This window comes from Homo sapiens, chromosome 13, assembly GCF_000001405.40.
Source record: "Homo sapiens chromosome 13, GRCh38.p14 Primary Assembly".
Taxonomy (NCBI): domain Eukaryota; kingdom Metazoa; phylum Chordata; class Mammalia; order Primates; family Hominidae; genus Homo; species Homo sapiens.
In genome coordinates this window covers 18,617,087-18,630,682 of record NC_000013.11, presented here as the reverse complement: position 1 = coordinate 18,630,682, position 13,596 = coordinate 18,617,087, and positions in this window count along the sequence as shown.

Genomic DNA, 13,596 nt, shown 5'->3' with positions numbered 1-13,596 from the left:
AGGATTTACATGATTAAATATCAAAACTTGGTATAAAGCTAAAGTAAATCAAATAGTAAGGTATTAGAACAAGCATGGACACCTAGAATAATAAAACAGAAAACAGATCAGAAACAGACCTTTCTATATAAAGTCACCGGATTTTTGACAAAAGCACTACTACAATTTAGTGTGAGGAATGGCCTTTTCAATAAAAGGTGCTGGATCAACTGGATATCTATGAGGAAAAATTTATTTTGACCCCTCCTCAAACCCTATACAAAAGTGAGTTTGTGATTTGAAAAAATCGCATCAACTAGATCTGAGACCCTGCTGAGAAATGTAAAATAATGTAACCTCTTAAAAAAGAATGTAGGACATTATTTTTATAATGTTGGGATAGGCAATGATTTTCCAAATTGTACATAACTATAACTAACCATAATTGATAAATTAAACTTTCATAAAATTAACAATTTCTGTTCATCAAAAGACACCATTTAGAGAGTGAAAAGCCAAGCCATACACTGGGGAAAATTACTAAAAATACAAAAATTAGCCGGGTGTGGTGGCACACACCTGTAATCCCAGCTACTTGGGAGGCTGAGGCAGGAGAATTGATTGAACCCGGGCAACAGTGGTTGCAGTAGCCGAGATTGCGCCATGGCACTCCAGCCTGGGAAACGAGCGAGACTTCATCTCAAAACAACAAGAACAAAAAAGTCTTAGCACTTATTACGTAGTCATTGCTTCCATTTGTGTATATTGACATATACACAAATGAAATACATATTACATTTATAGTAATATGTATTTCAATACATATTACTATATATGTAATTTTATATATAAATTAAAATTTATATATAATAAAATTTTATTTATTATATATTTAATAAATATATGTAATTTTATATATATTTGTATATATACAAATATATAATAATACATTTATTATATTACATATAATAAATGTATTATTGCTGCTATCTATAAACACATACTGTGTTGCTATTACTCCTGTAATCCCAGACGGGTAGGGATTTACTGTGAGAAAGTTGAACCTCAACTGGAAAAGTATATGGTTTTGGGGTTTTGTTTGTTTGGGTTGTGGAAAAATAGATGTCAGAAAACAAAGTGGATATCAAGATACTAGAACAGTAAGAATTTAGGCCTGGGTCTGGAAACGACATTTGAACATCAATATGTAATAGTAGTTCATGTCCAAAACTCACAAGTGAGATTATCAAACTCCAGGGGAGTCTATTAATGTGGCCATAAAATCTACCCCATAATTTTGACATAATTTTTCCAGCCCAAAATACAACTGACATCATCTTATGGGTCCGGAAGTGCCATACATCAAGCAAAATTTCTACCGGAGAAATAACACTGTAATCGTTTGGGGAGCAGTCTGACCAGTGTTCCCTGAGTTACGCGGACCGCCCCCAACCATCCTTCTCGCCTAATTATTACCAAGTCAGGAGGATGTCCTGCTGCACGCTCAGGCGGTCACTCCTCCTTTCCGCAAGGCCCATGTCCGCACCGTTCGCCCCGGGGCTCCCATGGCCCCCAACCTCCAGTCTCCGGCAACGATGGACCCCCACAGACCCGGCAGGGAGCGAAGGGCGCACACCCACCTCCCGGGAGTCAGTGGGAATAACCCCGGGCGCTCTGAGGGTACGTCCCACACCCGGAGCCGCACGGGCCCATCCCCGCCAGGTCCGGGCAGGCAGCCCGAGCCCGGGACCCCGCCTCCCCTGCACCTAGGGTCCGGGCCGAGCTTGGCAGCTGAGGTCCCGTTCCCAATCCCACTCCCAGCGCCTCCCCCTGGCGGCGGCGGCCGCCTGGGACGCCCCTCCCCAGGCGCTGCCTCCTCAGAGGGTGACTGCCGCCTGGCCGGGCCGGACAGAGGCCGGCCTCTCTTCCAGCTCCTCCTCACCCCTGGAGGAGACAGGGGACGGGGATGGGGTTCTAACCAGGCAGCAGGACATAGCAAGGCCCGCCACGGCACAGCCTCCTCCTCCACCATCTCACCAGGCTCCCTGCCAGGGCCGGAGCAGGGCAGCGCCTGAGCTACTAGGGAGTCTGGTCCGGCTGCTACTCCGCCGCCGCCGCCGCCTTCTCACAGCCACAACAACACTGGCAGCATTGGCCACACGGAGCGCGCTCCCGACGCCGAGCCGGGCGACGAGCGGGGACGCGCGCGCACGCTCGGGCGCTGAACCCGGTGTCCGGGAAAGGGTGCGGGTCTCCGCGGGTTGGACGGGGGCGGGGCCTGGACAGGTGGTCACGCCCCAGGAGATGGGCGGGGCTGCAGCCCAGACGAATACCTGCGGCTGGGGAGAGGCTCGCGAAAAAGCCCAGCGGAGGCAGAAGGGCTGGACAGATGGGAATTGGGCGCAGGAAAAGCGATGACAAAAAAAAAATCTGGAAGAAAACCAAAGGTGGTCCTACAAATTTTTAGGAGGCGTCTTTCCCTGGGCAAGACATGGCTCACTCTACTTACCAGAAAAATAGAACAATAGTGGTATCTTTCACCTGCAATTGTGGTCAGGATAAAACCAGTTTAATATAGTACAAGTAAATGTAGTGTTTTAGAAGATGTATTCAGAATACAATTTCTTTTTTTCTTTTCTTTTTTTCTTTTGAGACAGAGTCTGGCTCTGTCTCCCAGGCTGGAATGCAGCGACATCTCAGCTCACTGCAAACTCCGCCTCCCGGGCTCAAGCGATCCTCCCACCTCAGCCTCCTGAGTAGCTGGGACTACAGGCGCAGAACATCATGCCCGGCTAATTTTTGTATTTTTTGTAGACATGGAGTTTCTGCCATTTTGTCCAGGCTGGTCTCGAACTCCTGGGCTCAAGCAATCCACCCACCTCGGCCTCCCAAAGCACTGGGATTACAGGCATGAACCACCGCACTCGATCCAGAATACAATTTCAAACTGATTCAAATTCAGCTCCTAATCAAAAGCTTAGCGGGAAGAAGTGAATTTTCAAACAAAATAAAGCCCTCTCCCCAAAATTGTAACCTACCCACACTAGCCTGCGGAATTCCACAAACCAGGATTGCATTACCGCAGGCCCTAACAGATTCACCTCCTCTGAGTTGCCTTTTAACATTCTATCCTTGACTTTTCTGGAAACTGTCTGGGAGAACTGGTCAAATGAAATCTATTCCTGCATCTGTTGTAAAGTTTTTCCACAGCACTTTCTGAAATTTATTTTCAATGTTTATTGTTTTTTCACTCCACTTAGAATGTAAAAGCTACTTGAAGATAAGGATCTTGTTTGTCTTGTTCATCACTATTTCCCCAGCACCTGAAACTGTGCAGGCTAAGTAGTAGGCAGTCGAATTTCTTGATAGCTGGCTGGACGCAGTGGCTCACGGCTGTAATCCCAGCACTTTGAGAGGCTGAGGCGGGTGGATCACCTGAGGTCAGGTGTTCGAGACCAGCCCGGCCAATGTGGTGAAAACCCGGATCTACTAAAAATGCAAAAATTAGCCGGGCATGATGGCAGGCGCCTGTAATCCCAGCTAATTGGGAGGCTGAGGCAGGAGAATAGCTTGAACCCGGGAGGCGGAGGTTGCCATGAGCCAAGATTGCGTCATTGCACTCCAGCCTGGGCGACAGAGCGAGACTCTGTCTCAAAAAAATAAATAAAATAAAATAACAGCTAACACTTATTCATACAACTCATCTAATTGAATCTTCACAACTTTAATAGGTAGACGCCCTTATCTCCATGTTACAGATGAAGAAAGTGAAGCACAAAATAAACTGCACGTATTAAAATTCAAACCCAGCAGACAAAACAAAACAAAACAAAAAACCACTGTGCTCTCACCCACCAGCCTGTACTGCCCAGTGCATGACACAGTAGCCTGAAATAAAATCTCAAGTAAGAAATTACTTTAGGCCGGGCGCAGTGTCTCATGCCTGAAATCCCAGCACTTTAGGAGGCCAAGGCAGGTGGATTGCTTGAGCTCAGGAGTTCCAGACCAGCCTACCCAACATGGCGAAATCCCACCTCTACAAAAAATACCAAAAAACTGGCCAGGCATGGTGGTGCGTCCCTGTAGTCCCGGCTATTTGAGAGGCTGAGGTGGGAGGATGGCTTGAGCCTGGGAGGCAGACGTTGTAGTGAGCCCTGATTGTGCCACTGCACTCCAACTGGGTGTCAGAGCGAGAAAAAAGAAAGAACGAAAGAAATTACTTTAGAGGTAAATTCTTGGAAAGCCCTTGCTTTACTACCAGGAAAATCAGCGCTCTTCCTGCTTTTTGATAACTCTTATGCAGCTGATTGTGTCTGTCTTTTCACTCTGGCTTCCAGAAAGCCCAGGGCTAAATGACCAGGGCTCAGCAATGACCTCTGCTTGGCCCTTAAGGTCCACTCCTGCCTCAACTTTGCACCTTTATTTATATGTGGCTGTCCCGATTTTCCCTTTCTGTTATATGACTGTAGGCTTTATGGAATGGGAGAAGAAATAGTAAATACATAAAATTGATGAATGACTTAAAGTCTTTTATTTTATTTTTGAGACGGAGTTTCGCTTTCGTTGCCCAGGCTGGAGTGTAATGGCGGGAACTTGGCTCACCGCAACCTCCACCTCCTGGGTTCAAGCGACTCTCCTGCCCCAGCCTCCCGAGTAGCTGGGATTACAGGCATGAGCCACAACACCCGGTTAATTCTTTGTATTTTTAGTAGAGACAGCGTTTCTCCATGTCGGTCAGGCTAGTCTCCAACTCCCGACCACATGTGATCCACCTGTCTCGGCTTCCCAAAGTGCTGGGATTACAGCCGTGAGCCACCATTCCTGGCTCATTTTTATTTTTATATTTTATTTTATTTTATTTTATTTTCACACAAGGCCTCACTCTGTTGCCCAGGCTGGAGTGCAGCGGCTCACAGCCACCAGGTGAGTTGGGCCCACAAGTCACCCTTGCTAAGAGGCAGAGTCCAGAGCAGGACATGGGTAGATGCCAAAGGCAGCACTCCCTACTCCACACATGGGTTTCTGTCAAGTAAATCACCAGCCAGGTGAGGTGCATAGAGCATCTCGGGAGATGGGACACCGTGTTGTCCGCTCCTTCAGCCAGGAGGCCCCACACTGAGCTCCACTGTCTCCACTGTCCGATGCTACAGGAGAGACGTTTCCTGCTGGTTAAGGAAGTGGAAACTGCAGATCACTTTTCATCTTATTGGAAATCACTCTTTGACACTTTTGCCTCATCTTCACTCGGTACACATTGACTCTACAGCAATAGTGTAAAAATAAACACAGCTTAAGGAAATAGGAACCCTTCATTCCTGGGACTTAAAAGCTTGACTTTCTCCAATAAGTCAATTACCAGTATCCATGGCAGAAACAGCTCTGATGCCAGGGTTGACAGCACACTGGAAAACAGGAGGGTGTTTGCATTTCTGGGGCCTCAAATAATGAGAGGTTCTTCCAAGAACACTGACAGGGGTATTGTTGCCCTATTTTAGAATTATTACTGTGAAGATCAGGGAATTTCAGGCGGTCGAACTCATGCCACAGCACCTGTGCTTTTCCGATAGGGGAGGGATGGAGTCCAGCGCAGGGGTCCCCCGTCATGGGGGAAAGCACTGTGATGGGATGTCTGTGGGGGAATTAGAACCCTATAGCAGATGGGATAGGGTGGGGAGTCTACATATTTTTATTTGGAGGCTTTGATGGAGTAAAGTTCCAAACCAAGTATCAGGCAGATGGCAGTCCAGGCTGTGGTGCTGTGCTGTGAGACTGGGAGTCCAGGCAGGTCCTGTGTTCACTGGTCACTTCCACAGCCTGAAGCCCCTCGAAAGGACATCTGCACAGAGGCCTGCTAGTGACTTCAGGATGCTGATGATGCCCTCAAGGTGAGAGCCAGAGAAAATCCCGTCAACTCTGCCAACCAAGGGCGTCAATGGCCACGTGTGTGGTTTTCTCCGACAAAGAACAAGCCAGTTTGCAAACCATGCTTTTGAGGCTAGAAAAAATGTCTGTATTCCTTCAGTGTCTCCTGAAGGCTGCGTCCCCTGAGAATTGATTCAAATACTGTATTCTTATATAAAATACGGTAACATTTAGACCTGAAAAATGGCCTGGGGGATAATCTTATCAAACCTCTGATGTGGTTATTTTGTAACTGAGTATATTGAAGGCTGGGGAACAAAGCCATCTGGTGTCAGCATCCTAGCTGCTCTCTCTCCCCCAGGGGCTTGCCTTGGTTTGGGGCCTTTCCAGCAAAATTAGGCTGGAGAAATGAGATTTTACTTAAACAAGGCCCACTGTTGCTTTAAGACAAAATGTCAAAATTTTTAAAAATGTATTAACTTGTTCTTTTGGCCAAGAAATCAATAGATGCACTTCCTTTCCACTGTGAAGGCACTGAGCTGACAGAGGATTAAGAGCTTGAACCATCTACGTGGTCTGAGTGACCACATCCTTCACTCGGAGCAGTGTTCTACAGCAGATAATTCTGAGTCATCCCAGCTAATGGCCGTGCACAGCATCCTGATGCTCTGATTAGGCTGAAGGGCATGTGGCGTGGTGGCTAGGCTGTCTCAGAGAGCACCTCAGGCTGGGTGGACCAGGCTGACCCAGAAAAGGGCAATGGGCCTTTGACAGGGACTAGCTGGCTACTATCTGCCTCTTCTGCAGTTTGGGACACTTAGGGTGATGGGTGAAAGTGTTTTTCCATATATAGTGGCCCGAAAGGAAAGGATACTCATGCCAGTGTTCAGAAAGTGTGTGGGTTTCTCAGGTAACATTACTGCAGCCACTGATGTCTAATCCAAAGAGCTCTGAATGCTTGCTATAGAGATTTGTAGTTTTAATACTGAAGCCCCGAATATTCTGATTTCCTCATTAAGACCGACCTAACATGAGCTATGTAGTCAGCTAAGGTATCAACGGAAGGAAATCGCCAGTGGTTTCCCTCTTATTTTCCTCTGAGGTCATCTGAAAACAACTGCAGTGAGGACAGAGTTCATGTGGCACTGATGGCTGTGTGCTCCCAGGTCCAAGCATGCACTAAATATTTAATTCATTTGAATATAAATAAGTTAATAAATATGAATACATTAATAAATTAATTGGCATATTTTTAGTCCTGTTGCAGTTTCAAACTCACCAATTTATCCAACCTCTTTGCACTGAGTTCTTATTCAAGTGAAGTATTCCAGTCTTGTGACTAGTACTTCTGACATAATAATAGTAACAACTAATATTTATTTAGAACTTTAGTTTACCAAGCACTCTACATTTAATTTTATTATTTGTTATTTATTTATTTATTTATTTATTTATTTATTTATTTATTTAGTAGAGACAGGGTTTCACCATGTTAGCCAGGATGGTCTCAATCTCCTGACCTCGTGATCCGTGCCCTCGGCCTCCCAAAGTGCTGGGATTACAGGCATGAGCCATCGCACCCAGCCTACATTTTATTTTTACATTTTGTCTTTACAAACCACCACGGGGCAGGCATTCTCCTTACACGCAGTGTTAATTGGTGACACAGAGGCTCAGGGGTTTAAATGGTTTCACTGTAAACAATGTAATCTAGTAGGATGTTGCTTTCCTATTTTTCCTAATACTACCATGTTTAGATGTGGGTGGCTGAGTGGGAGTATATGATTTCCTGTGTATGTATAGATGTAACCCACACTCACAGGCGGGAAGTTCTGCAGGCTGAGAAGCGAAGCCCTTTGCTGAACAACCACCACCAACATTCTAGGACCCCCACACCCTTGGTTCTGCAGGCTACACCCCTCCCATCTGCTTAGAACCAGAAAGAAAACTCTGTGGTTACTTTTCCCTTTGACAATAAACCGTGGTTCTCTTCAACGTTCTCCTGGGGACTTGGGTCAATGTTCTCACATGCAAATGTTAGCCAGGCCCAGAGTTATTTTTTCCCCTACCCCTGCAGATTGATCGTGGCACGCAGCTGCCCCATACTGTATTTTGGTCACCCCCATCAGCATCCCATCTGCTGCTTGTGCCTCTGGCCAGCTTCTTGCATGGTCCTGACACGGTGCGGTCACTCTCACATTATTTGCACACATTGTTTACCTATAGCTGGACACATTGTTCATAGGAGCCCAGCTGGTAAAGTAAAAGTATTCCAAGACTGTGCTGATAAGCTACTTCTTCCCTGCATCCTGGGCTGGTGAGAAGCTAAAGAGGAATGAATGCTCTGCCTGTGAAGAGGCCACACTGCAGAGAGGAGGAGGCAGAGATGCAGTCGTCACAGCCCCAACACCCTGCCTGGCCCTAGTTTTGTAGATCCAGGGAAGAGTTTTGCACAAATTCTCACTGGGAGCATTGTCAGGGCTGCAGCACATCACTCTTTTTTGACCTGAGTCATTTTAACGTTAGCTCTAATGCCAAAAAAGATGAAATTGAAGTTGCCAACATCTGGTGGAAGGCAAAAACCAGCGAATTTCTACCCAGGGAGAGTTCCTCTGCAGGGCCCCTGCTCCTGGTGGCCTGGAGTTGGGGAGGCCTCTGGAGCAAGTCAGGGGATGGGATTCTGGGTTTTCTTCCATTTTATTATTTTCCTATTTTGACATCTTTGAAAAATGGCTCAGCCTCATGGTGTATGGGTCTTCTGATTGCTTTTGTCTTGATTTTATTCTGACTGAGGGGCAATGGACACTGTGGGCTCCTCATCCAGGATGAAGAGGGCCCCTCTGTGACCTGGGTGCATCCATGCTGTTCACGGTGGCCTCATGGATCGTCATACAAAGGATGATCTCAGTGATGAGCTTGAGCCTACGCAAAATTAAATTATATGGGTTTATAAGATGCTTGCCTCAGGATCAGTGACATCAGGCCTGTCCCTGCTGCTTGCAAGGCCAACTTTATAATGTGCTATCATGGTGGTAAAGGCATCATCCACTTGATGGAGATCCCAAAGACCAGCTCTACTCGAGAGAGATTTAAGCTAAGTTGCCTGGGAGTCCCTGGTGCTTTTTCAAGGTTCTACTGAAGACAATGCCATCATCCAGGTATCTCTGAATGCCTACGTAGCTCTTGCCTCAGGAGCTCTGAGACCCCATGTTATCTATTTTTGAATTGGCCAAGGCCCCTAGCCAGGAAAGGGATGCTCTTCCCATCCTTGTCAGCCCTCGTGTCTTGTATTCCACCCCACAGCCTCCTAGCAAGCATCTCAGTGTCTGCAGGTGAGCATGGCTGAGTTCAGTCTTGCTTACTGCAACTATAGACATGAGGCCTGTGGAACTAAGAATCCTCTCATTTGCTGACTGGCATTTTGTTTAAGTCCCAGATCACTAATCTCTGGCAAGACAATCCCCTTTGTGTTTCCTGGTGATGGACTTGAGTGATTTCAATGTAAACAGTGGCTCCACCTGGGAGTGTATCCCCTTCCCACGGTGGGGGGTGCATAGCCCCTGCCAGGTTTCTGCTATCCTCTCATCCTCCCACTGGGCTTTTCCCCTGCAGATGGCCTGGTGCCCACACTGCCTGCAAATGGTCACTCTTGCTTGTCCCAACACCACCTCCACTGCAGCTTCCAAGAGCCCTAGAAGGGCCGGGCCCTGGCTGAGCACTATTCCTAGGCCCTGGATGGCGGGTGTGGAACTATGTACTTGTCAAGGTCATTTCCTCTTCTATTTTCATCATGTTAAGTAAATCCCTCTCTCATCATGAAATGCCCTGGAGAGAACAGATGCATAGCTGTGGAGTCTTGTTCTGGGATATGTCAGGTACGGGCTCAGGTGTGTGGAGGCTGCAGGGGGTGGACATGAGTGGTCTTTCTCTCGCTGTGAATCGCATGTTTTGTGCCAGCCGAAGGGTTCTGTGGAGGAGAATCAGCTGTTCACCTGGCTGAGTCTAACTCTGGGATGGCGACAGCCGAAGCCCCAGCTCCATTCCCTGACTTTCCCTAGGCTGCCGCATGGGTTCCCTGGCACTGTCACTGGGCTAATGCCTTCTGTCTCCTCCTGGGGTGAGGCCAGCCTTTACTCATGGTTTTTGCCCATTCCACATCATTCTGCCTCCCACCCTTGGCTTTTTCAAAAATCTGATCCAAGAGTGTGCAAGGGGGTTAGAAACATGCTGTCCACAGGGAACTAAAATACACTGAGATGAGAAACCAGAAGCACATGCTTTGGAGCTGTCACACCTTCTGGGAACTGAGAAGCAAACTCAGAGATGCCTGGAAACCTTGGGAGCACACGAGGTCTCTGCATATATTTCGGTTGCAGATGTGTTTCTAGTCAAAGTAAAAAACACACGAAGGGCATTCATGTTTCCAGGAACAGAAGCATCCTGTCTGATTTTTCAGAGGTGAAGGGAGCAGTCTGAAGGGGCTGTGGCATAAGTGTGTCTACAATCAAAGCTCACAGCCAAGGCCCTGGGGGAGGTTCAGGTGTGCCCCAGGGGGTGCGCCCCATCCAGCACTGCACTGCCACGGGCCTTGTCTTTATTAAATTCTAGGCCTTTTTCTGGGCACTAGTTACAAAAGGGGTTTCAATGAACCCTAGGTTCTGTGGCTGCCACCCACCTCAGGGTCACACAGGTAATGATCACCACCCCCTCCACCTTCTGCTGAGGGTCCTGGTGACCCCCTGGTGGTGTAACCCAGGCCCTCACCCCTAAGGGGCCCTCAGCCTTGCTCACCTCAGAGTCCTTGGTCTAGGGCTCCTGCACTTGTCCACATGCCATCAAATGCTGTGTACTGGGAGGTACTTGCGTGGAGCCCCTCCTTCCCCAGGCAGCACAGCTCTGCTCCTGCTGACACCATGGTCCAGGTGGTACCCATTTTTCTGCCCGCAGGTCCCATGGAGGAGCAGCCTGAGGACAAAGCAGCACCCAGAGCTTGTTTTTTCAGAGAACCTGGCCCTGCCCTGGCTAGAAGCCCCACAGCTGTGGAAACCAGGACCTCCTGCTTTTCAGAACCTAGATATGCAGATATAGATGCACCTCAGAGGTCCTGGGTGTGATGTGGAAGGTTGGGGGACACTGGGCTTCCTACAGCTGTGCTCTCATTGCCACATCTTCTACCTAGTGGGACAAGGCAGCTAGCAAAGGTGACAGATTCCTGCAGACACTGTGTCCTCCCACATCCTGACCTGGCACCTGAGCCACACTGCTGGGTCTGAAGCTCCCAGGAGCATGTGTGTGCTGTGACCAGTGGACCTACTGCATGTGCCCTCTTCCTCCCTCTGTGGTGTGAAATCAGTTCCTCTGATGGTGTCATGTGAGGTCTTGTCCTGATGGGCAGAACTTTCTATAAACCATCCGATGGCCCCGGGGAAAAGCAAGCTCATCCTTTCAGGTTTAACTGTTTCTGTTAAATGCAACCCTGTCCTTCCCAGGGCATCAGGTCCCGGTGCAGTTGTCCCAGCCTGGCAGGAACTCTCCTTGAGGATTGTGTGGAGGGTGCAGCCTGGGCCTGACTCGTGACCCTGGCAAAGGGCAGGTGAGCCCTGGGGCTGACCACCTGCACTTTCTGTTTGTGGTGGGAGACGTTGGGCAATATTTCTTGCCTTTCCTTTAGAGAGCATCTCCCAGCCTGCCCAGACCACTAGACCCCTAAAAATGTGACTTGTAGGCAGGGCCTGGCTCTCTGTGGTGCTTTTCTCTCCCCTCCAAGCACCTGTGACTCTCAGGCCTGCAGCCCTGCTGGCTTCCCCCATCTGAGCTCCTGATGCAGGGTGAGGACTGTATTGTGGCAGACAGCATGCCGGTTTACACAGTTCTGGGAGAAAACTATAGGTATACATTATTTTATGTCCCAAGTAAATGAATCCCATTTATGGATACTTTTTTTGGCATGGAGAAGAAATGCATTGGTGAGATCCATGGGCCAGAGCTCAGGCCTGTGCTCAGGCTCTGGCAGCAGCTGTGCAGCTCTGGAGCTGTTGTGGAGTGGGGAGGTGCTGTGTCTTTGCTCCCGGGTTAAAGGCTTCATTTGTTTGTTTGTTCAGTTTGTTTTCTTTGACCCCTGTTCAGCAATGCTGAAAATCAAGCATTCCTAAGAGGTGGAGACATGGCTTTGGAGCAGGGGCGGGCCATTGGGTGGAAATGGAAAATAGGTTGATAGTGGGAATTTCATTTTCTGGAGCACACGTGCAGCCTATTGATGGCCTCATCACAAGTTCACCTGATGACCTGAGTGGACACTGTCCTTCTCCTGAGCAGGTTACATGCTTGCCAGGCACATGAACAGTGCATGCTCACATTCTTCAAAGTGAACGAACTAAGAAGGATTTGTCAGCACATTGTAAGCCTGAAGCTGCCAGTGTTTGGTCCACAGTAAACCACGTGTGGAGAGCTTAAAAAAATGCCCTCATATCTGGCAAGAAAATGACAATAATAAATTAAATTATTACTGTAATACACATGTTTCTTTAGTTACGATTAGATATATTACACATATAACTAACAATTTTGCAGAAATTTCTTATCTACCAGTATTTATTTATTTTTTTCATAAGTTTCCAAGGAACCCTAATGATGCGGACTGTCACTTTTAAAATTAAATTTTGTAAATAACTCCCAGAGCCATACTGATAAGAAACAAAACAAAACAAAAAGAACTAGAAATGTGAACAAACATTGGATTTCTGCTGGAAGAAAGGTTGCAAAGCAGGCCTGCCTGCTGCACTTCCCCAGAGCTAATCCTTGAGCCGAAAGAGCTTCCTGGTGAAGCCTCGCACTCTCTGTAACAGGGCGTGGGGGGACCGAGACATGCGGGCTCCAGATTAGACCATCTTTACCTGGTTATGGGATTTCAGTCATGTCTTTTAAATTCTTTGAGCTGCAGTTTTCACATACGTAAAGTGAAAGTATTTTTAAAATTTTAATTTGTGTTATGGCCTTGTATAAAGATAGAATAGTACATTTGAAAGCATTTTAGCTGAAGTCAAACATTCATGTGTGTGCCTGCAATGGCTTCTTAATTATTTTAGGGCTTAACCTGGTTTTACTAGTACTGTTACTAGCACTGCTACTTCTCCATGTCTCTGAAGACTATGAAATACTTAGAATTGAAGTAACAAGAAGCACCTGTCAAAGGGTTCTATGGCCGATGACAGATTTGACACAACTGGATATAATAATATGTTAGATGGTACCCAGAGATGCTGTTCAAAGTCGAAAGTGTCCCTAGAATTCTGAACCTGCTGAAGCAGCCTTCAGAACTGAAGTTGAGAAAAGTACATTTTCAGTTAAAGAAAGTCTGTGAGACTGTGTTGCCATCACGCCCAAACCACGATAAATGCAAAAGAAACTTGTTCAGGATGAAGAAAAATAATAATTGGAAATTCTAGTTCACAGAAAAGATGAAAGTGTGCCAAAAATAGTAAATATGTGGAGGGGAAATCACTGTTTTAATGACATCCTCCAGGAATTACAACACGTACAGAAGAAAAATCTATGACAACATGGCACAAAAGATGAGAGGATGGTAAGGTAAGGTTTTTATATTTTATATACAGTGTTATGATATTTAATATACATTAAGTATTTATAATTTCTGAACAACTCACCAAAAATAAATAAATGAAACAAAGTCATAGTTAAAAACAAATAACAGGGTACAAAATCCATACTAAAAAAAAAAAGAAAACCCCATAAAAC